The following is a 25,660-nucleotide window of genomic DNA, read 5'->3' as shown; positions in this document are numbered from 1 at the left end:
CCCGCGCGGCTGCGCTCGCGCTCCTCCTCGAAGTCACTGGGTCCCGCAGCCCAGGGGGCGGAGGGCAAAGGATCTCATGTCGCTGCTGCCGCCACCCCCGATTCGCAATGTTTCTGCTTCCCTCCACTCTGTCCCGGGTTCCAGGGCCCTGTCTCTAGGGGCGCCCTGGGTCTTCCAGGAGTGATCCAGAAGTTTCTTCCTGTCCTGCGTGCGCTGACCATCGGCCCCGAGGACAGCGATAAGATGGCTAAAGGCTCCCGAGGCCAGGTAGGCCCTGCGTCTGGGCTGTTCGCTGGACAGTCCTAAAGCTCTCTAAAATGCTCTGATTCATTTTCTCCTAACCATTATAATAATACTCGGTGTGTGTTAAGTAGAAATAATGTATATATTTCTTGTGGGTCAAAAGTTCTTTGTGTGGTATTGTGCTTTGAATCCTGGCATTAAAAAAAGACAACTAATATTCTTTTTTTTTAGTTTATTTTTAAGTTTGACTATTTTAGACATTCATTGGCCAATTGTATTACAACCTTTTAAAATCTCTTGTTCTTGCCTCTTGAAGGAAGAAAGCCTTTGAATTCTGGCTCTGCCATGTGCTAGCTGCATAACCCTGAGCAAATTACATACTGGCCTCTCTTTGTCTTAATCTCCTCAATTGTAAGATGGGAGAAATGCGAGAACCTCCTTTAATCAGCTCTGGATGCTATAACAAAATACCATAAACTGGGTGGCTTATAAACATCAGAGATTTATTTCTCACAGTCTGGAGGCTGGGAAGTCCAAGATCAAAGTGCTGGCAGATTCAGTGTCTGATAAAAGCCCGCTTCCTCATTGACCACTGCTGTCTTCTCATTGCAACCTCACATGGCAGAAGGGATGAGGGATTTTTCTGAGGTCTCTTTTATAAGGGCACTGATCTCAGAGCCCTCATGACCAAATCACCTCTCAAAGTCCATGCCTAATAAGCCATCACCTTAAGGACTAGAACTTCAACATATGTATTTTGGGGGAACATAAACATTCAGCCCACTGCTGTCCCTCAAAATTTTGTTGGAAAAGTTAAGTGAGTAAACAAACATAAAGTCCAAGGAAATGCTCAATAAGTATTAGCTAGTATCGTTAGCATTGTTTGGTGATGATGAATATTATTATTATTATTGTGATCATAGTCTGTGAATGGGCAAAGGGCTGTGGTAAGTTTGAGTATTCCCTATTTATGTAGAAAAGCACTGTCTATGTTTACAATATAAAATATTTTTCTGACATAAATACCAAAATGTTTTTCAACTTTGTTTTTGGCCTAATTTATAATATCTTGATCAGTGCGGAGGGTTTTTTAAATTTATGTATCTAAATCTAGCAGTCTTTTCTTTTATAATTTCTTCCTTAGCTTTTATGCGAGAAAGGAATTGCATACTAAAAATTAGAAAATCTTTTCATCAGATCTTTTTTCTAGTTCTTTTCTACCGTTTCATAATTTTACTGTTTCAAACATTAAATAAATAATTTAATGTTTTAAAGTATCAATTTTTTAGGTAATGTAACAATTTCTCCAAGTACCTAACCAGTTAATGCAACATCACTTATTAAAGAATCCATCTTTTTAATGGGAAAGATATTTTGAAGGGAGGTGGAGGACAAAAGTTTGCTAATGCCTCTGAAATCACAACTTTAGCTCCATGTAAGGCTGCTCTGATAGAAGAGGCTTAGAAATCAAAGTAGGGTTTGCAATCAATTAAATAGAGCATCTCTCCAGTTTATCCAGGGTGGAATACCATTCATCAAACTCAGATGTGAAACACCTCCATCAAATGGTTGGCAGTCTTTTCTCTGAGTGCCTGACTGTTAAATTTGGAAAGAACTTAGCCCTCTGAAGCTCAGTCCTGAGGGCTTTCTCACTGGAACTCAGGAAGTAGGCAGATAACAACAGGGAAGTCTGGCCATTCAAACACGGGTACTTCTCGGGGTACATCTGAAGAGAAAAGGTACTCCCCAAGGCGAGGGTTTTTGTCTTGACTCCAAACTGATGTGCAGTGGCTCGTGTGCAAGTGTCTTTCTCTCTGTTTAATTAGGAAAGGTTGTTATTACTAATAACAAGTTGCCTCATAAGGCCCGTGTAACAATTAAATGAGATAATGACAATGTCGAGGAAACTTTTATCAGCTGTACAGTTATACAAATGACAGTAAGCTTGGTATTTGCAAAATACTTTCATATACACTATTACATTCCATTTATAATTATTAATATGCAAAGCCTATTATGGAAATACTCAGTAATTAATTTGTAGCTTAAGGGAAAATAATGAAAAGGAAGCAATCGCCAATCTTAAAGTTTCCCTACTGAGGATTAAAGAAAATTGTTAAATTCAAGGCCCACCTCAGTCAAGATAAAGCCTGAAGAAAATTAAGAAGTTGGACTTATGTGCTTGGTACCATGCCATTTCCTCTCTCTTAAATCTACACTGCCCTACTTGTTAAATTACCAATGTTCTGTCTTTGTTTCTCAAATAATTAGATGAGAACTTTCTTCTCAGTAGCCAACTAACAGCCCCAACTCAAGCTTGTCCTCCTAAGACTTAATGTTCTTCTTCTCTCTGTTCTCCCCTTACACTCTCTGACTGTAGAGGTTTTAAAATATGCCCCCAAAACTCTTGGACACACACTTTTCATTGAGAGGTGAGGGCCTATGTCTCCTTCCCATGATTATGGGCTCTATGACTGCTTGACCTATAGAATATAGTGGAAATAAACTCTGGCCTTAAGAAACTGGCAGCTTCTACTTCTAGGCTCTAGGACTTCCTTTCAGTCTTGGAATTTAGCCACCATGCTGTGAGGAAGTCTGAGACGCCCATAGAGAAGCCCAGTGCAGGCAACTGAAGATCTCAGGTCTCAATCCTAACCACTGTTCCAGGCAACAACCAGTGGCAACTCATCAGCCCTATGAATGAGCCATGTTGGAACTGAATCCTCTAACCCAAGCTCAGCTGCCTCAGTTGATACCAACTTAAGCAGAGAAGAGCCTGTCCAAATTACAGATTTCTGAGCTATGTAAGTGGTTGTACTTACTTTAAGTCATTAAGATTGGGGGTAGCTTGCTACACACCAATAATAACTGAACACCATCCTGTCATTGAACTCCCGTGCTTGCAGTGTGAAATCTAGCTGCTAGCATCTGATGTGAGAGCAATGTGATTTCATTAATTGTTAGATCAGTTAGCACCAGGATTTAATCCTGTCCAAATGCTAACTGGACAAATAGCCCCTTCTGCTTTTTGTACCTCCATTTTGTCTTTCTAAAATTAAATGGCTTTCTCAGAGTTGACACACTCTTCTGTCAAGAATTTAGGAGAGCTGCAAGTCTTCTCTAGAAATCCCATAGGATTTTAGTATGTGAAAAAATCATTTAACTTCTTCCCAATACTTAAATCATCCCTACATATGTATAGCATATTTCCTCAATAAAAAAATTCTAATCATGAAAATCTTACTGCCTCCATGGAAAACGTCTGACTGAACTAGCCAATATCATGGATTAAATGGCTATAATTTGCTGGCTATAACAATAGCTCATATTTTTAACATATTTTAACCAATTTCTTTCATAAATCTACATTCTGCAAAATATTTGCATCCAGCAAAATATCCTGATTCCCCAAACAAGCCTTAGAGATACATAAACTAAAATATCCATTTTAGGGGTAGTACCTATTTAGATGAGGAAACTATAACTCAGAAAGAAGCTAAATGATGTGCAGAAGGACACACGGCAGCCAGTGAAGACTTCAGCTTAGGTCTTCTGTTTCCACATTTATCACTTTTTCTACTATTCTACCGTGCCCCTATAGAATGCGCTTTAGCATTTCCATAGAACTTCACAGATGTACTAAGCACCTTCTCATTCATTTTCTCATTTCCCCACAGAGATAAGTTCCCAATAGAATTACATTTTTAATCCTTGTTAAACCAAAGGATCACTCAACATTACAGGCAGTATGACATATCTATGAGCAATTTATGTTGAGTCTTTCAGCACACGAAGGCATATGCTCCCAAGAATGTACCAAATACCACAAGAAAGAGAAATTTCACCTAGATAAGTAACAACCCTTTAATTTGGAGATGGATTAGGAAGGAACATTGAAAATGTCAATCTAGTTGTTTCTTTATCACTTAAAATAAGTACAAGAAACCTTGAAAAATAAAATTTGATTGAGGACTTTTTAAGATGTAGGGAGCTATGACATTTTGTTAGCAATTTATACTAGGTACTTTCTAGACAAGAAAGACCACTGTAAAAAGTAAATATTGATAAAAACAACAAAAAATGGAACATACTGGTTTTCTCCTAAAGAATTTATATGACAAAGCAAAATATCAACATGGACAAAATAACATAATATAAAAATAGCTACAGGCTGCAGAGGGAGGGACTGATTACTTTGAGGCTAAGGTTACTTGAAGAAGTCTTCCAGGATAGTGAGAAAATCTGCAAAGCTTCTCAGAAGCTATGACAAAGGGAAAGGGCATTTTTAAGTGTTTTGAATGGCAAAAGCACACCAAGAAACTGGGTGACTTATATAATGTGCAAAAACAGGAAGAAAACTGCCTTGTTGGTAAAAATAGGAAAGTGAGGAGTAGCAGGAACTGGGGTCCCTCAAAGCCTGGCTAAGACATGGCATTGCAATGAATGGTATGGTAGCCAGTCATGTGCCACCAAATGGCTGTGATACAAAAATGTTTTTGTAGGAAAAAGTGTTCTGTTGGCTCTTGTAGAACAGGTGCAGTGGAGAGGAACCAGGGAGCTGTGTAAGGGGACAACCTCTAATAACAACAACACACTGTGGCTAGCGTCTCTTAGGCACCAGAGCTTCAAGGATAATGATCCTGTCCTGTTCCCAGTGCACTCCCAGAGCCTTGAAGACAGCAGAAGTCCTCTAAGCCCTGTGTGGTGAGAGAGGATTTCCAGAGGAGTCATCAGAACTGAGCGTGAAGAAGGGCTGTGTGTGACCCAATGGAGGATGCTGAAGAGGGCATTCGAAGCAGAGAAGAACATGTGCAAAGCAGGAGACGGGCAGAACAGGAGGGATTCTAAAACAGCAGGTGTGCTGCAGAGGAAGAAGGGTGGCTGCAAACCCTGAGGAGGAAAAGGATTAAGTTTAAAAAAAATACACAGGAAGGAATAAGAAGGAGAGATACCATAAAGAAAATATTAACAGGACCTGATCACTGAGCGGTTTGGAAGGTAAAAGGAATGACGGGGCAAAAAAAAAAAACCTTTTTGCAAGTCTTGGAGGACAAAAGAACAAGACTAGTGTTGATAGTAGTGGGAAGGCAGAAGGAAAGGCCACTGTTTTTACAGGGGACAGATGCTAATCCTAACTCTCCTCATGTTCCATTTCAGGTAACATTGGAACATACAGGTGGCAGGTAGGGGAGAATTTGGAGACTTTTGAAAAGAATGTGAAATTGGAGAGTGGGGCTCAGGTAAGTGCTGAAAACAGATTTGGGAATAGTTCCCATACAGATGGAAGAAGAGACTGCGAAGAAACTCAATGTTTATGGGAATATGAATGATTTCTTCATAGGATTCATACACAGACATCCAATATTTCTGAGCATGGCATAATCCTATTGTATACCTCCTTCTGATATCTGGAATACAACCAATGTATTCACATAATGATCATAAGCTATGTCTACTAACTCTCATGTATCATACCCAGTTGGTTTCTATTCTAGAACTATGAGGTCAGTACTTGTGAAATGTATATTGAGGTCTACTATGAAATTTGCTTTTATTCTCTCCACAAACAGAGCTTTTATGTTTGTGCAATAAAAGTTCAAGAGATACATATACATCTGGTTAAATACTTACTGAGACATCAAATATAATGTTTATTAGTTGAATATAATGCACATAAATCACATTTCCAATAAAATATACATATGCTTTGGAAATTAAAGAGACTATTTTAGCAATTATATAGTGAACTCTTGCTGACCTAACTTGCAAAATATTTAGATAAAATTAAGTTATTGTCTGATTCATCCATGTCTAAAATGATTTTACCCACATTAAAATAAATCAATGAGATCTTTATAAAAGGTTATAGATAGTACCACAAACCTAATACCAAAATAACCACTAATATAATCTACTCTGAACCATCCCTTAGTGATCCGGATGTTGCTATTTTTACTAGGATACCAGGTTAAACTAGACATCTGAAAAAGACATTCTAATGAGAAATTCAAATAGCTCTTGCTACCCCTGGAAATATAAGAATACTCCACCGAAGGACATATCCTTTCATTTTAGGCAGTCCCCAAAGAGAGGTGCTGGTGACTAACTTAATGACTGGGAAGATATTTATGCTGAGTATGTCTCAGGATATTATAACAATATATTACAGGAGAAAAGGTCTATCAAAGTCAATTCTACCACTTACATTTTGAAGAATTTAGACATTACTATTTAGAATTCATATTTTATTTTGTTTTCAATAAACAAGTACTCTACTAGCCTCTGGACATATAACCACTACAATATAATATTTTAGTAAGGTATAAACAGAAGTGTTTTCTGAAAAACAAAATAGGTCAAATCGCTGAAAGAACTAACTTGGGTTTTAAGAAGAGTTTAATTTTCCAGGTGCTATAACTGGAGACCTATTGAAATACAGTTTTACTTTCCATAGGGTTATTAATGAAGGGGTAAGGCCCCAGAGACAGGGTGAGTATCAGTAAAAAGGGCTGAAAGGACATCAGCATAGAGGTTCATAGCTCCACACTACATGCTGGGAAGGAAAAGGTGAACAGCAGGTATGAACTTTTCTCTATCAGAAAGGAAAGAAAAACCTCAAATAAATCTCTTGGTAAACATGCTATGTTGGGAGTCCTCAAAACCACCACCATCATGCTTAATGATTTGCTAGAAGGACTCATAGGACTCAGAAGATGTTGTCTCATGGTTATGATTCCTCAGAGTGAAAGGATACAGATTAAATTCAACATAGGGAAAAGTCACATAAGATGATGTTCAGGCAGAACCAGGAACAAGCTTCCAGGGGTCTTCTCCCAGTGGAGTCACACAGATGCACTTAATTCTCCCAGCAATGATGTATGACACCTTGTGCAAAGTGTTGCCAACTAGGGAAGCTTATCTGAGTCCTGGTGTCTAGGGTTTTTAATCACCTACTTGGAACCCAGCCCCACCATAACCCTGCCACAAGCAAAAATAGGCATTCACAGATGACATTGTTAGCATAAACTACCTGGTCAAACTGGTACAGCATAGCCCAAGGCTGCAGATATACAAACCACTCTTATCCAGCAGATTATGCCGAGGACTTAGAGCTCATCTCCCAGAAACCAGCCAAGGGCCAGTCCTGAGGACTGGCCTTTCTTGGGAATGTGCAGGGTTTGAGCAACCCAGACCTACTGAGTTAACCCTTCCCTGAACACATGTGAATAACCAAATTTTCCAGTAAACTCACTAAGTATTTACTAGGAATGGAAAGATAATGGAGAGTATAAAATGTTTTTAGGAGCACACATCTTGATTGTGTGTATAAATAAACTTAGAATTCACAGGTTTCTGGGTGATAGGGGAAACTAAGAGATGATTATGTAAACAATAAGGTATGAAGAAGAGACATTGCATAACTGGAATTATTCCCTTTGTTTGAACGATGTCTCTGCACATATTGCTTATAAAGAAGCTTGTCTATTAAATCTAAAACTTATCCTACTGCATGAGAATAGGGTTATTTTGGAAATCTGTGCCAAATGGTCTCAGACTTCTCCAAGAAAAGACTGTTTTATTTGTGCCTGGTGTTTGCCTGGTCCTTTGAATTCTGAGTCAAGTTTGGGACTGGTTAAGAGCTAGAATTCAAGAGAGTCTAATTTTATAATTCCAGTATATGTGTTATCACAAGAGATACAGACAACTCTTTTCTGCCTTAAGATTCAAACAGCACAAAATCGAGATAGTAAATAAATTAATTAGTAATACAATAACTTATGGAAAGAGAGAAATCACTTTAAACAGTTTTAAGGGAATTGATCTAATTACATTCCCCAAACCACATCCAGACACCTCATATAAAGCTCTAAAATGATTATCTAAGTAGAATACAATGCCCCTAAAGAAGCTTTTCATTTTGAACACAAGAGCGTGATTGTCTTTCTTCTATGCCTTTGCAGTTTCTTGGTCTGAGGACACATGTCTAATTATCCACCAAATCACCAAGATCATCAGAAATGATTGGAACATTGACAGTAGCTGCTACAAAAAGTAACACTTCCAACCAACCATTACCATAAACTCATAGAAACTTTTTATTCCATTTCTTGCATGAGACATGTTTGACTTCCACGGCCATTCTGGCATCAGATCCTTAAAGAAAATGCCAAGGAGTGATAAATGTGACTCTATTTATATGTTAAAAATTAAGTAAACCACCATTTCACTAATTATAATGAGGATATATCTGCTCTGGAACTTAAGACTACTTCATTCTGAGACAAAAGAAACTAACTTTTTTTAATGAAATGCCTAGGGTGACAAATTCAGTCTTTTCTATGACTTCTGTGGCTTAAAGAATATTAATATCAAAGACCCAATGAATTAATTTTCAATTATTTGATTTTAGTTTTAAGTTTCATGAATAAATTGCTTTCTAGTAATCATTGTTACAGGAGTTATTAAAAAATTATTTTAGGCAGATAAAGAAGAAAAGGGGTCCTTGGGAAGTTTATTTTTCTTTTAAATCAGCTCCAGAAATGTTTCTTGCCTAGCAGAAAAACCCTGGCAGGCAAGCTTTGATATGCAAATGCAGGCCATTAGAAACTAGGTCCACCAAACATGGCGATTCCTGCCATCTTCTTGTGCCCACATGTGCCTGGCAACATGGCCACCCCACATATCCCCACATGTGTAGAACATCATGGTGCCCTTCATTTGCATATTAAAAGGCTAGGGTGGGAGGGCCAGTTTTTTCACCGGCTACTTGAATGACATACCTGGTCAAACCAATCCTCTGGGCACTATGCCAGTAAGACACCGCCTCCTCCAGCCTCCTCATATAAATGGCTGTTTTTCACCGCACTCAGGGTTCCCTCTTTCAGCTTAGAGCCCCCCCACCTCTATCTCTGTACAGAGGGAGCCTCTTCCTTCTTTCTTGCCTATTACAATTCTCCACTCCCTAAAGCCACTCCACATGTGTCTGTGTCGTTTTATTCAAACCGGTGCAAGACCAAGGACCCTGGTGTTCCTCCAGTCATCAAAGCCATATGATTTTGGTGCATTGGCCAGGAATCCAAGGTACAGCATTCATCAGAGTGGTAAGTATGGGAGTAAGCTTAAAATCTGTTCTGTCATTCCAAGGTGCTCTTGGCCTCTTTTTTTTTTTAATTATACTTTAAATTCTAGGGTACATGTGCACAACATGCAGGTTTGTTACATATTTATACATGTGCCATGTTGGTTTGCTGCACCCATCAACTCATGATTTACATTAGGTATTTCTCCTAATGCTATCCCTCCCCCAGCCTCCCACCCCACAACAGGCGCCAGCATGTGATATTCCCTTCCCTGTGTCCAAGTGTTCTCATTGTTCAATTCCCACCTATGAGTGAGAACATGCAGGTTTGGTTTTCTGTCCTTGGGTCAGTCTGCTGAGAATGATGGTTTCCAGCTTCATCCATGTCCCGGCAAAGGACATAAACTCATCCTTTTTTATGGCTGCATAGTATTCCATGGTATATATGTGCCACATTTTCTTAATCCAGTCTATCATTGATGGACATTTGGGTTGGTTCCGAGTCTTTGCTGTTGTGAATAGTGCCGCAATAAACATACATATGCATGTGTCATTATAGTAGCATGATTTATAATCCTTTGGGTATATACCCTGTAATGGGATCGCTGGGTCAAATGGTATTTCTAGTTCTAGATCCCTGAGGAATCACCGCACTGTCTTCCACAATGGTTGAACTCATTTACACTCCCACCAACAGCGTAAAAGCGTTCCTATTTCTCCACATCCTCTCCAGCATCTGTTGTTTCCTGACTTTTTAATGATCGCCATTCTAACTGGCATGAGATGGTATCTCATTGTGGTTTTGATTTGCATTTCTCTGATGGCCAGTGATGATGAGCATTTTTTCATGTGTCTGTTGGGTGCATAAATGTCTTATTTTGAGAAGTGTCTGTTCATATACTTCCCACTTTTTGATGGGGTTGTTTTTTTCTTGTAAATTTGTTTAAGTTCTTTGTAGATTCTGGATATTAGCCCTTTGTCAGATGGGCAGATTGCAAAAATTTTCTCCCATTCTGTAGGTTGCCTGTTCACTCTGATGGTAGTTTCTTTTACTGTGCAGAAGCTCTTTAGTTTAATTAGATCCCATTTGTCAATTTTGGCTTTTGTTGCCATTACTTTTGGTGTTTTAGTCATGAAGTCCTTGCCTGTGCCTATGTCCTGAATGGTATTGCCTAGGTTTTCTTCTAGGGTTTTTATGGTTTTAGGTCTAACATTTAAGTCTTCAATCCATCTTGAATTAATTTTTATATAAGGTGTAAGGAAGGGATCCAGTTTCAGCTTTCTACTTATGGCCAGCCAGTTTTCCCAGCACCATTTATTAAACAGGGAATCCTTTCCCTATTTCTTGTTTTTGTCAGGTTTGTCAAAGATCAGATGGTTGTAGATGTGTGGTGTTATTTCTGAGGCCTCTGTTCTGTTCCACTGGTCTATATCTCTGTTTTGGTACCAGTACCATGCTGTTTTGGTTACAGTAGCCTTGTAGTATAGTTTGAAGTCAGGTAGCATGATGCCTCCAGCGTTGTTCTTTTTGCTTAGGATTGTCTTGCCTATATGGGCTCTTTTTTGGTTCCATATGAACTTTAAAGTAGTTTTTTCCAGTTCTGTGAAGAAAGTCATTGGTAGCTTGATGGGGATGGCATTGAATCTATAAATTACCTTGGGCAGTATGGCCATTTTCATGAGGGACCCAGCCTCCGACAGTCCATTCTGGGTGTTGGCAGAGAATCCTCAGCTATCCTGTTGCAAAACTCTCCTTCCTTTTCTATCCTCGGTCTCATACTCTTTCTCTGTGTGAAATGTGCAGGGATTTGTAGAGCCTAGAAAAGTAATCCTGTTAGGCAAGATCAGGAAAATGTCGTTGCAATCTTCTAGGAACAGAGTTCTTCCCTTTCCTCTGTGGTGAGGTTTCTTGCTACCACACCGCTGGTGAGCACACAATATTTCTAAGCCAACACCACCACCTAGTGGAAATAGACATCCTCTACATGAGGCACATTTTTTTTTCACAGCAATACCGCAGCTTCCTTTTGCACCATTAGAAATCAGACTCGGCCGGGCGTGGTGGTTCATGCCTGTAATCCAGCACTTTGGGAGGCTGAGGCGGGTGGATCATGAGGTCAGGAGATCGAGACCATCCTGGTTAACATGGTGAAACCCCGTCTCTACTAAAAATACAAAAAATTAGCCAGGCATGGTGGCGGGCGCATGTAGTCCCAGCTACTGCGGAGGCTGAGGCAGGAGAATGGCTTGAACCTGGGAGGTGGAGCTTGCAGTGAGCTGAGATCGCGCCACTGCACTCCAGCCTGGGCAACAGAGCAAGACTCCATCTCAAAAAAAAAAATAAAAAAGAAAAGAAATCAGACTCTAGGCCTCTTCTGGGAACAGGGAAGTTCTGCCTTTAGCAGTTAGGAGTAAGATGTCTTCCGCAGCCAGATTTTAGTCTCGTTATTGTCCCATCAGCAGCAAAATGGCCATTCAGTTCCTGCGTTCCTTTAAGCCACCTATTCTGTCTCTGATTAAGACAGTACTTAATAAGTACTTAATAATAGTATTAATTTTAATTACTTAAATAATTTAATTCCTTAAATAAAATTAATAATTTTAAGTCCAGAAGTTAACGGGAACCATTTTTCTAAGGGTAAATGCTTTAGCATGGGCCATAATAACAGGATATAGAGTTCAATCTAGCACGCCCCCTCCCTTAAAGGGGCCTTGCTCAATTACGTAGTTTTTCTTGAGATCCATTTTTTTAGGGAGGCACACAGGTCACACAAGTCTAGGAGGTCAAAAGGAAATAAAAGGCAGAGGACTAAGGCTGCTTAGGGAAGCGTGACTAGGGCCAAAAGTCTAGTTTCTCTGGTGCCATGGCTTAGAGGGTCATGCCTGCAGTCATGGGTGTCCCATTCAAATGGGTGCCAGGATCCAGGAACCAGGGAGAGAAAATAATTGGTGGGGGGGACACCCCCTACTGTTTTCTTCTCTATCCTGGATCACATACTGAAAGGAAGCAGACTAAAAGAACACTTTTATTCTCACTTCTCTTTCTAGATGAGTAACAGATTGTCTTCAACATGCACCCCCCTGGGGTATATTTTAAAGCACTGGGACTCCTTCGGCCCTGAGACTTTGAAGAAAAAGCACTTCATATTCTATTGCACAAGGGCATGCCCTTCTTACTATCTTCGGGACAGGCAAACCTGGCCTGCTAGTGGGGAGCCTTGATTTTAGTATTATCCAAAAGTTAAAACTTTTCTGCAAACAGAAGGGCAAATGGACTGAGGCTGCCTATGTACAGGCTTTCTTTGCCCCTCAAGACAACTCAGACCTTTACAAGTTCTGTACAATCAACCCAGTTCTTTTAGCAGCCACAACAGGCAAGCCCACAGGGAATAGTTCCCCAGAGCTAAAGCAGGTTCCAGAGGAGTAATCCGAGACAGCTATTGAATGTCCCAACCCTTCCAGTCCCCTTCCAATCATACCATCCACTCCTCCAGCTCTACCAGCTCCAGTATATCCTACTCTCCCCCCTTCACTCTTACCTCTGCAGGAAATGCCTGATGGGAGTGGTGCCATAAGGGTTCAAGTTCCCTTCTCATTACAGGATCTTAAGCAAATAAAGGGAGACTTAGGCCAATTTTCTGATGACCCCTGTAGGTATATAGAAATTTTCCAAAATTTAACTCAGGTGTTTGATCTCACACGGAGGGATGTTATGTTGCTGCTAAGTCAGACCCTCACTGCAGCTGAAAAGCAGACAGTTCTGCAGGCAGCAGAAAAATACGGAGATGAGCAACATGTCTCCTATAGCAGACCCAGGAGAAAAAGAGGAGAGAGGGAAGGTGAGGAAGAGGTGGAAACTCCATTCCACTAGGAAGGGAAGCAGTTCCAGTAGACAACCCTGATTGGAATCCCAATAACTCAGGAGATGAATGGAAAAGGAAGCCCTTTTTCTAATATAGAAGGCCTATGGAAGACCAGGGCCAACCCTTTCAATTACTCTAAACTGTCCATGCTAGACCAAAGATGAGATGAGAATTCCACAGCCTTTATGGAAAGGCTGAAAAAGGCACTAATAAAACACACCTCTTTATCCCCTGATTCAGTTGAGGGACAGCTCATCCTGAAGGACAAGTTTATCACACAGGCATCTCCCCACATTAGAAGGAAGCTACAGAAGCAAGTTGTAGGACCAGAGAGCACCCTAGAAAACCTCCTGAGAATAGCCACTTTAGTCTTTTACAATAGGGATCAGGAGGAGGCCTGAGAAAAGGAGAGGAAATACAAGAGAACAGAGGCTCTAGTAGCAGCGTTGCAAGCTTGTAAAGTCCAGAATCCCCAAGGTGCATCCACTAGGTGTTATCAATGTGGCCAGCCAGGGCATTTTAAGAAGGAATGCCCAGACAGCAATACGAACCTTCCTTGACCCTGTCCAGCCTGTGGTGGAAACTGCTGAAGACAGGTCTTTCCCTGGAGGCAGAGGTCACTGGGTTCAGAACCAGTCTCAGAGATGGTCCAGCAGGATTGACAGGTCCCGGGGCTCAAACCCCCATTCCAGCGGCTCAGTCTGCCATTACAGCACAAGAGCCCCGGGTGATTCTGAAAATTGAAGGAAGGAAGGTAGATCTTCTGGGTACTGGAGCCAGTCTCTCTTCTCCTCTGTAATCCAGGCCTTCCCTCTTCCTTTAGTATGACTGTAAGAGGCGTCTCAGGAAAAACTCTAACCTGATATTTACCTTTAACCCGTAGCTGCAGGTTGGGGGCTTACTATTTACATATGCCTTTCTAATCAGGCCTAAAAGTCCCACTCCTTTATTAGGTAGAGATATTCTAGCTCGCATGGGAGCCAGTATCCTTATAGCCCCAGGACAAACTCTTTGTCTCCCCCTGATGGAAGTTAACATTAATCCAGAAGTGTGAGCAACTCAAGGAAGAATAGGTTGAGCTATAACTGCTAGGCCCATCCAAATCTATCTTAAGGATCCCACTTCTTTTCCTAACCAGAGAGAGTATCCCTTAAGGCCAGAGGCTAGGAAAGGGCTAGAAGCCATTATTAATAACCTAAAGATTAGAGGCCTCCTCAAACCCTGTAATAGCCCCTGCAACACCCCAATATTAGGAGTGCAGAAACCCAATGGGGAATGAAGAATAGTTCAGGACCTTCACCTCATTAATAAAGCTGTAGTTCCAATCCATCCAGTGGTCCCTAATCCCTATATCCTGTTAACTCAAATACCTGAGGGAACTAAATGGTTTGCAGTCCTAGATTTGAAAGATGTCTTTTTCTGCATACTGTTACATCCCGACTCTCAATACCTGTTTGCATTTGAAGATCCCTCCGGCCAGACCACCCAGTTAACATGGATGGTTTTCCCTTAGGGATTTTGAGATAGTCTTCGTCTGTTTGGACAGGCACTGTCACCAGACCTCTCTGAGTTCTCTCATACTCAAGTTAGGGTCTTGCAGTATGTGGATTATATACTGCTCTGTGCCCCAACTGAGGAAGCTTCTCAGGAAGGTACTGAAGCTCTTCTCAACTTCTTATCTAGCAGAGGATATAAGGTTTCAAAACCCAAGGCCCAGCTCTGCAGAACCTTAGTGAAGTACCTAGGCTTAGTGTTGTCTGAGGGGACCAGAGCATTAGGGAAAGAGCGGATTAAGCCTATCTCCACCTTCTCCCTCCCCAAAACTCTCAAGCAACTAAGAGTATTTGGGGGCATTACAGGATTTTGTAAACTGTGGATACCTGGATATGGTGAAATAGCCCATCCATTACATAACGTCATAAAAAAACTCAGGGAGCTAAAACTCATCTTTTAACCTGGAAACCTGAAGTTCAAAAGGCCTTTGACAAGCTAAAGCAAGCTTTGCTCAAAGCAGCAGCTCTCAGCCTTCCTGTAGGGGAGTCCTTCAATCTGTATGTATCAGAAAGAAAGGGGATGGCCCTGGAAGTTTTAACACAGGCCCAAGGACCAGCTCAACAGCCAGTGGGTTATCTATCAAGAGACACCTCAGAAAATTATCCCAAGAAACTCACCTTCCTTGGGTCACTTTTCTTCCTATGGCCTTACTAGAAATAAAAAATACACCTTCAAAATTAGGTCTTAGCCCTTTTAAGATGCTGTATGGATGGCCTTTCCTTACCAATGATTTTCTATTAAATCGAGAAACGTCTAAGCTAGTTAAGCATGTAACTTCTCTGGCTCACTTCCAATTAGCACAATTCATGAAAGCCCAACCCCAGGAAATTGGACCACTCTATTTAACCCAGGAGATTTGGTACAGGTGAAGGCTCTGCTTTCCCTGCCTCCCTCCCTAAGCCCAAGCTGGGAAGGGCCTTACACCGTTCTTCTTTCAACTCCCTCAGGAATAAAAGTCATAGGAATCAAATTCTGGATACATCACACTCGAGTCAAAGCCTTGGAGAGCTAAGGGACCAAAGCCCAAAGGAATGACCTGAATATCTGTGAAAAAATAGATCTTAAGCTGAAAATCACAAAAGATAAGTAACTGAGTAAGAACTACTCATCGTACTCAGTCTCACCCCTACCTCATCAAATACTTTTTGTCATTTCTACCTCTCCCTTTGAGCCAAATATTAAAACTTCTTTTTGATGGAAATTATTTACTATGCCACCCTTGCAGAAATTGTTATACTCACTCTACTATTTGCAATAGAACTATATACTGTAGCACCCTCAGGGTGGAAAATCAGACAGAGAATCTCAATTACTGTAGCATTTTGCTTAATTATTATCCTGATAGCAGGAATAATGGTTACTAACAGAAAATAAACATGAGTGTTTTACTATCACTAAGTCTATTAGGACTTTTTATCGGACTTAGTAATACATCACACCCTTTAGCTCCTACAATATCCACCATGGCCCATTTGTACAAGACTAATTGTTGGGTCTGTCCTAAGTAGTTCACTCAATTCAACGACACTGAGGAATCTTACAGTGACCCGGAACTCATCGTCTTGGGGTTCCCTTTATTGGCTTTACCTTTAACCTTTCAAGACATATCAGGCATAAATGGGACATGGTATGGGAGCACTTTCAACTGGGTGACTAACTCCTCTCAGGAGAACATTCCACCCCCAGTGGCAAAGAACACTCTCTCCAAACATAAGCTTCACACCCTCAGGCTGGGAAAAATTGACCAAGTAATAGCAAATGTCTCCCTCTGCTTTAAAAGTAGCGGGAAAGGACCACACTTGGGAGATCTCAGATATTGTAACATCACACTTGTAATTGCTGACAGTTCAAAAATTTGAGGAGAAGGGTGCAACAAGGGTCATCTAAAAGGATCAGAAGCTCTAGTGGGGGGCTTTCAGAATCGCCTCTCCTGGTTGGAAGTCCCAATGGGAGTGGCATGCTCTAAATAACCATCTTGACTATAATGTAAAAAATCACACATGGGCCTCTCCAAACATGCTCCCTCATGGAACTCGAGACCCTTCTATAACGTTTGCTAATAGTAGCAGCTTACTTTCCAACAAACATCCATTAAACACCTACTATGTGCCAGATGTTTGTCTAGGTTGTAGTAAAACAGTAGTTTAGAAAACAAACAACCCCCCCACCCCCGCAAAAAAAGAAAAAGCGGAAAAGAAATCTATCTTCAAAGATCTTTAGTTTTTGCTCATTAATTTGTGATAAAAATTAAACATTTGTGAGAAAACATCACAAATGTGTGATAAAACATCAATGTTTGGCACACTATGTTAAAGGTAATGAAAGTATCAGCTTGATCATGATTCATTACTTCCCCTCATGGGTCATACATAGCCTAGACATAGGGAAGGTACTATTCCAGTGTCTACCCATTGAAAACAACTGGCAAACTAACGTGCGCTAACTTCCATTTATAGGCTAGAAATTAAAAGATTCATTTAATGATTTGTCCTCCAGTGCTTCTGTTATCTTTTGGTGTTTATGAGTTAATAAGCTGCTATGGTGTCTGCAAATATAACTGGCAGTAATCCACAATTGATCGAGTTAATTAAGCATAACAATTGTGACGAGCTAAGACTAATAAGAAGGAAAAATTTTAATGAAATGATATATAAAGCCATAGAGCTGCACCAAGGAGTATAGACAATCTGGAAAGTTTTCCTCAATAGATTGTGTGTGTGTGTGTGTGTGTGTGTGTGTGTGTGTGTGTGTATGCATTTCCTTTTAATGTATCATCATTCTGTAAAATATGGCATATTCCTAATGTTCAGAGTAATGGAAAATATGTTGTTAGAAACTTAGTTTTTTCCTGTAGCTTGACTGTGTAATACTCTCTGATGCTTAAATTCAGATATAATGAAAACATCTTCACAATATGAACACCCTCTTATTTCTAATTAGAATCTCTTGATAATAAGAAGGGGCACTGATGCTGATGCTAAGGTTACATTGTTTTCTACGTATGTGCTATGCTTCGATGAGTCCTGCTACAGGATATTTGCTGCTTACATCCATAAGTGCTTACTGAGTGCCAGACCCTGGATTAGTATTCTCTCCCCTGCTGTAAGCGCTAGCTAAAAATAGCCTTTAAACTTCCTAGGGATAGAATTATAATCAAACATCAGGAGAAGCAGAAGTTCAAGGATATGGGCAGTGAATTTGCATGTCTCATATCCTAGTAGTTTGGCCATAGTCTTTGACAGTTTTCTTTCTAAAGTTGTATTTATTTCCCCAGTTCCACTCAACCTTACAGTGATTCTTATCTCAACATGTCTATTCTAGAGTAATCACTATTACACTGTGTTTCAAACCACACAACTCATAAAGACATATTTTATGCAAAGATAGAAGGCTTCAGGGGTTACAATATCTCTTTACCAACACAGAGTATAAGGATAGGGAGATAAATATTACCTAATAGGTTATTCTCACACAGGTATGATGGAATGGGACACAGGTATGAACATGACAGAAGAAAAAGATGTCATTGTAGTGTTGAAGGATAGTGTGGAACGTCACCGAAGGTTAGACCTTTTTGGAAGTATCTGTGTAATTATAGCTTTGTTGGTGTTGGGATCGATGCCATTGAAGCGTGAAGTTTTTTTTTGTTTGTTTTTGTTTTTGAGAAGGAGTCTCGCTCTGTCACCCAGGCTGGAGTGCAGTGGCGCGATCTCAACTCACTGCAAGCTCCACCTCCCGGATTCATTCCATTCTCCTGCCTCAGCCTCCCGAGTAGCTGGGGGCTACAGGTGACCGCCACCACGCCCGGCTAATTTTTTGTATTTTTAGTAGAGACGGGGGGGGGGGTTTCACCATGTTAGCCAGAATGGTCTTGATCTCCTGACCTCGTGATCCGCCCACCTCGGCCTCCCAAAGTGCTGGGATTACAGGTGTGAGCCACCGCGCCCGGCTGAAGTGTGAAGTTTTAAGCCATGCTAGTTAATTTATTATTCCATCCACAACTGTTTAGCCTACCTCCTCAAGGAAGAATGGTCCAATGTTTACAGACTAGCACTGAGAGGGGGCCCTGCACCCAAATCTAGGTTCTGCCACTGGCAGCATCATCTGTGATCCTGGAATAAGATATTTAACATGAGAGCATCCGTTTCCTGATCTTTGTATAAAAAGGGGTTGTTGTAATGATGTGATCAGTGAGTGAGACATACAGGTCTCTGCACTTCAAAGAATAATCACCTAAAGATTACAACATTGTGACATCCTCTAGCTATACTAGTATGATGGTATAATAGAGAAGCAAAATCACCTGAATGTTATTTTGCCTCAATTATTTTCATAATGGAAAATGATCATCTAATTGGAAAAAACAGAGTCACATTTTTAAAGGAGGGTTAACTTCTAATGTAGTTAAATGGCTCTTTTTTTCTGAAACACCAGGAATTTTTCCTAAGGGAATCAAAGCAACAAAGTCTGAAGCTTCAGTGATTAGGCATTTGGGGACAAAAAGTATAGTATGATGGAGACATTTAGGAGAGTGTGTCTTTTGTGAGTGCAAAGTTCTAAGTCAGTAACTGCCTGTTCAATTCATGTGATGTGATTTCATTTGATGTGGATGCCTGTATGTGCATTTAGGGAAATAAGACTGTTTATTTATGATTTAAATAAACCATGTTTTACCCATACAATCTAAGGTACCCTAGACTCTCCCTGGAGCTTATCTGTAAAACAAAATATATGTTCTTTCTATCTCATGGATTGTTTATTGAAAAATAAAATTTAATACTGTATATAAAATTGTTTTAAAAATGTATAAAGCACTATCTCTGCACACATACAATTATGGGGTGATCGTAACAATGATCCAGAGCTCAAAAAGAAGAGAACATTTAGCCAAATATTATCCCTTTGTATATGAAAGTTTAAAAATTAAAAAGTAAAAAAGAATCGTAGAAAAGATAAAAATAGATTAAAATTGGCATTAAACTTAAAATTCTGCTCATTAATGATCTTTCATATACAAAATATAAATTCTTGAGATTTTCTACCTTACCTGTTATGAGCTGAATGTTTGTCTTCTCCACCCCAAATGATTCACATGTTAAAGACCTAATTCCCAGTGTGATAGTATTTGGAGATGGTGGCATTAGGAGGTAATTAGGTCATGGTGGATAGAACTCTCATCATGGGATTAGTGTCCTTAGGCACTTCCTCCCTTCCCTCCCTCTGTTCCTCCTACACTATGTGAGAATACAGCGAGAAATCTGTGATTTGCAAACCATGGGGAGCTGCAAAAGAGGAAGACTGCTCTCACCAGAAACTAATCTTGACCTTGGATTTCCCAGACTCCAGAACTGTGAGAAACAAATGTCTGCCGTTTAAGCCACACAGTCTATAGTATTTTGTTATAACAACCCAACCTGACTATTATGCATATTAGCAGGTTCTGTCTGTATCACACACACACACACGCACACACACAAACACATACATCGACTGATTGCAGTGTGCCAGGTATTGTGCTAAGAGCTCCACATATTTATGCCTTATAACTCAATTAGGTATTGACACAGATACAGTCAAGATACAGTACACAAGATATGTGAAACACAGATGCAATTATACAGCTGTACTGAATCTACATCAATACCATATATATAGCTATCTGCTTCATCATCTATGCATATCTACATCCAAGTCCATCCATCACAGCACAAACACAGAGTGACAGATGTATACACGTATCAATGAGAGTTATGTGAGATGTCTCCTCAGAGCTTAAAATGATGTCAAGAACATGAGTATGATGATGAGCACAAGTCTAAATCTGACTTTCTCTAGAATAAGGTTATTGGGACACTGTCTTGAGCCAGATATATGGAATGAATTAAAGATTTGATTATTTGAATATATTCTAGAACTTTCTGTATCTGAAGAGATGGAGGAAACTCAAGAGTAGAGAACAGTAATTTAGCTGCTTAAAACTATTGCCAGCAGAATATGGTGATGATGAATGCCCAGATTTGTGGATCTCTGAGTCAGGATAGGGGTGAACAATATCTTTATATGTTTCAATTGAGGAGGGATGCTTTGGTTAATATGAAAACGCTCTTTGAAGTTTTTGCTCAATTGACCCAGTACAATTTTGACAATAAATTTTCTTTCAAAGTTGGTTTTCTTATCTTCTGTGTTTTATTCTGTGTCTAAGTCTTCACAGGTCCTTTACAAGTTGGGAGTGGCCACATCAAGGCTGAAAGCCAGATTGAATTTCAAATCCAGAGCCCTACAAATACATTTGACTTAAGAGACTGTCTGGTACTACGTCATTGAAAAATTAGAGAATGGACCACTACAAAAAAGATGACAGTCCAGGATAGAATTGCAGCATTTTCATGACTTTGCATTGCTCTGATACCTCTGAACCAGGTCAAGCCTTCTCCTAGATGACCACAGATCTTTGTGCAGCAAAGTCTAGAAGTGGAAATGCTTGGTCAAGCCTAAGAACATTTTTAGAATTTCTATTATGTACACCAGTGGCCAGGAAAGGTGTGTTGATTTGCAATCCTATCCATAAAATTTACATAATAATTGTTAAAGTATTAATTTGACAAGCAACAAGGGTATTATTATTCTAATTTGCATTTCTTTGAATATTAGTGAAGGGAACTTTTTGATGTGTTTACTGACCACACTTACTGCTCACTTTTTAAATAACTTGTTCGTGTCCTTTACTCAAAAGGCCATTTTTTAAATCATCATAGCACACTATAATTAAATTTAAAAACACAGTTTCTTGGAACAGATCATTTCCCTGTATATTTTAAAGAAAGGTACTACAAAAAGGTATTAACACTATCAGGTAGTAAATGTAACTTGGAGAATAAGAAGTACAAAGAAAATTCTTCCATCCATTTTCTTAAAGTACAGGGCTTTTATTTCTGTTCTAAGAAGGGAGTGGTAGAAAAAAGGAGTGTTTTTCAAATGTTTGTGCTATTTTTGCTTAGGCTTTTTTATTCTAATTCTAAGCATTGAAACAGAATCAGTTTGTTGTGTATGACTTAAGAGATTGTCTGGTAATATGTGGTTGAAAATTAGAGAATGGACCGCTGCAAAAAGATGAGAGCCCAGAATAGAACTGCAGCACTTCCGTGACTTTACATTGCTCTGACACCTCTGAACCAGGTCAGGCATTCCCTAGATGACCACAGATGTTTATGCAGCAAAGTCTGGAAGTGGAAATGCTTGCTCAAAACATAAGAACATTTTAATTTCTCCTTTTGAAGTTATCACCCGAATGTGTAATTGTTTTATGGGACTATGTGCCTTTTTCATTTAAATAACAGTTCGTCTATCTAATAGAAAAAAAATTCTCAAAAGAAAACTGTGTGTGTTTAAAGAAACTAGCACTCAGCAGCAGCACTGAATTGACAATCTTTTTTACACTAAATTCTTATCAAGGGACCCATTCCTTGAGGGAGAGGTAATAGAATGGTAAGGTGTTTGGGGTTTACCAGTCCTGCATACCAAGATCAGGCTGAGAACACCTTTCATTATGTTTCTTCTCAAATCTTCAGAGCCTCTAGTTAGCACTCCTCAAACTGGATATCACGATCCTTCATACTTTCATGCATTTCTCCACACTGTCATGCCCTATTCTTACAGGCTTTTCAGACACAAACACTCAATTCTCCTGAAATCCACTGGCATAACTTCTTGATGTGAGATGTCCTCCCCGTCTCTTTCTACCAATCCAAACCCTCACCAATCCTCACCTTCACCCGGAAACCTGCTCTAACCAGTTCAGCCTACACTGAACTCACTTTGCTAAACTGCTATTGCACTTGTTTTCTGTGCCACACATGGTATTGCTTAGTCACATGCTCTCTTGTTTCAGTATTTAGCAGTTTTTCACATGGACATCTTCTCTTCCAAGTTAAATATTAGGCAGAAACATTTATCCCCTACTCCTAACTTCTACACAAAGGGTCATAACTAGAGAAAGCCTCATCTTTCCTCATGCCCCCATCCTCCATTCACTCCTCCCGGACTGTTCTCTACATCATGGCAAACACTCCTGTTGACTGTTCTCTTCATCATGGCAAACAGACACTCAGCATGGAGATCTGTCTTGACCAGAGCATGCAGATCCCCACTGATGCTCACTGTGGTTTTGCGATGATACCCGAGTCTCAGCAGGGAAGTGATATTCAACTGTGTTCATTGTGAATCATCAATGCCAGCCCTCACACCCATGCATTATGTTTAAGTTCAACTATTGGCTGGTAATCGATATGTACCTCATGCATTACTTTAATAAAATGTATTTCTAGATTATTTTCTAGGATCATTTACAAGACAGAAGAGATTTAGATAAATAGCCAAGTGTTTCTTTGCTGCATAATATGGCCAGAATAAATCAAATTTTGGAGAACTGTTGGAGTTGTGATTGAATGTTCCATGAGTTTTCAAGAAGCTTATTTAAACATTTAAGCATGTCTGCCTTTTGCAACAATTCTACAAGAAAATTTAAGAAATTCTTTATATCTTCCAAAGTGCCTTGGAGTCCCTGACAATATTGTTATTTCTCAGTTGGCCGTATATGCCACTCCCCTAAATCTCTGCCTTGTAGCTACATGTGAGCTCTTGAGCAGAGACACGAGATACACTGTTATTTCACATCCAGGCCCCTTAACAAACTTCTGCCCACAGGACCAGCTGGTATATTCTGAACAAATAATAAAAGGAAATTCGTCCTTACTTTAGATCCAAGTTACATTTAAAAAGAAAGAAAGAAAAATATTTAGCACCTTGCAGCCTCTAACTACCTCCCTTGAAGTAGTTTTCCCACTGATGAATTTCTAGATAACATAACAGTTTTACTAATATAAAAGGCTTAGTATAGAAATTGAGGGATTGGGCTATGGCTAGATCTGCCGACTAAGACAGAAAAAGTGAACTGATTAGTGCACAGGTGCATTTCTTGGAATAGACTAATAATGCAAATGATGTCAGACCCCCCACATCCCCCAAGGGGACAGCTGTGGGAAGACAGAGCAAGGAACTTGGAGTGGGATCAATGCTGAAGGCCCAGCTTTATGAACCAGGGCACACTAGCAGCATGCAGTGTGCCTCAGAGAATATCACAGTGTGCTGGTCAATGCCAGGCTAATAAACTCTAAGTTGAGTTGGCAGCTGGGGTGACAGAGACAGACACGCAGGAGTCCGTAAGTACAGAGTAACACCAAAACTTCCCTGGAATAGCTTAGCTTAAGCTCTTCCTGAAGTCTCTGATAGTTCAGTAACTAGAGCAGAAAAGGGTCCAAAAACAGATGAATCTACCAATTTATTTGTGAGGAGTAGGGAGGATCAGACTCAGAAATGACGTGGGATAGGAAAAGCAAAACTTTCTGACGCACATTTTCTGTGTACCTGCTCCCTCCACACCTTCCATGTATTACCTAGGCAATTCCTACACTGACAGACCAGGACGCTATTATTAGATTCTCTTAGGTTGTAGACATACAGCATCAAAATTGCTAGTGTTTTTCCTCTTTTCTAAAACATCAAGTATGGTAGAGCCATTATGGAAAATAGTTTGACAGTTTCTCTTCATTTTAAGTATACAGAGTATTTACCATATGATCTAGCAATTCCACTCCCGTATATTTACCCAAGAGATATGAAAACCTATTTCCACACAAAGACATGTATGTGAATGCTCATAGAATAGCTAAAAACTAGCAACTCCCAAATATCCATAAATGTGTATGGATAAACACACAGGATATATCTACACAATGTAATATACTACTCAACAATTTAGAAACTACTGATAAAATAAATAAATAAAAACTACTGGTAATGCAACAATATGGATGAACCTCAAAAGCATTATGCTAATTGGAAGAAGCCAGACTCAAACACTATGTATTAATTCTTCTTGACTGTGGATACCACTCCCCTAAATCTCTGCCTTGTAGCTACATGTGAGCTTTTGAGCAGAGACACCAGATACACCTTTATTTCCCACCTTTATTCACATCCTTGCTCTCTAACAAATTCCTACCCAGGGTCCAAGAATCAAATGTGCAGATATGATTCCCTTTATATGATATCTGTTTGCAAGACTGAAGTCCCTGTTATCTTGCTGGGATTAGTTTAGTTCAGCCCAAGATAATCTCTCTTTTGATTAACTGAAAGCCAACTGATTAGAGCAAGTCACTGTCACTCAAGGGACAGGGTATTGATTGTACAAGGGTGTGGGTCATTTGGGAGTCATTTTAGGAGTCTACCTGCCACAAATAATTACTATAAAAGGCTTCTATTGTTGTATTACTCTTTCAGATGCAGCAGTGTAAGTGTAATTAGTAAGTGCAACTTATTCAAAATTTAAGTCATGCTGGACACCATGGCTCAGGTCTATAATCCCAGCTACTCCAGAGTGTGAGGCAGGAGGATCACTTAAGCCCAAGAGTTTGAGGCTGCAGTGAGCTATGATTGTGCCACTGCACTCCAGCCTGGGTTCGAGAGAGCAGGACCCTGTGTCTAGAAATAAAAATTTAAGTAAAGAATAGTTATTTGTATTTTAAAAATGATAAGCTTAATGAAAGAGGTTACATATTGTATTATATCAATTCTGACAATATGCTAATTTCCAATAAATGTTAAAAATGAGAAGTAATAAACACTGAAGATACCTGCAAAGTTCAAGTAGATTTTTTTTTAACTGGATATGATACATCTAGAGGAAAAAGGAAAACAGAATTCACATGCTGAAATAGGTTCTTTACATATATTTTATTACTTTAGAGATGAAGAGACTGGGGTTCTGAGGGTCTGAAAAGCTTTCCTAAAATCACAGAGCCAGTAAGTGGTGGCCCCAAAAACAAAAGTTTTAAAATATATAACATATGCGAAAAGAAAGTGA

General features: G+C 39.8%; 1 protein-coding gene and 1 long non-coding RNA gene across 9 annotated transcripts in view; one reads left to right on the top strand and one right to left on the bottom strand.

Annotated features, from left to right (window-relative positions):
* PTH2R (parathyroid hormone 2 receptor) overlaps nt 1-25,660 on the bottom strand; it is a 134,815-nt gene that overhangs the window by 87,789 nt on the left and 21,366 nt on the right. The window lies entirely within an intron of this gene.
* LOC105373855 (uncharacterized) lies at nt 72-5,906 on the top strand. The gene is made up of 3 exons (XR_001739862.1): nt 72-267; nt 4,899-5,241; nt 5,401-5,906. It is a non-coding gene; the product is annotated as an uncharacterized LOC105373855 (long non-coding RNA).

The sequence above is a fragment of the Homo sapiens genome, chromosome 2 (genome assembly GCF_000001405.40).
Source record: "Homo sapiens chromosome 2, GRCh38.p14 Primary Assembly".
Taxonomy (NCBI): Eukaryota; Metazoa; Chordata; class Mammalia; order Primates; family Hominidae; genus Homo; species Homo sapiens.
The sequence above is the reverse complement of the archived record's forward strand: the minus strand, read 5'-3'. Positions and strand labels throughout refer to the sequence as shown.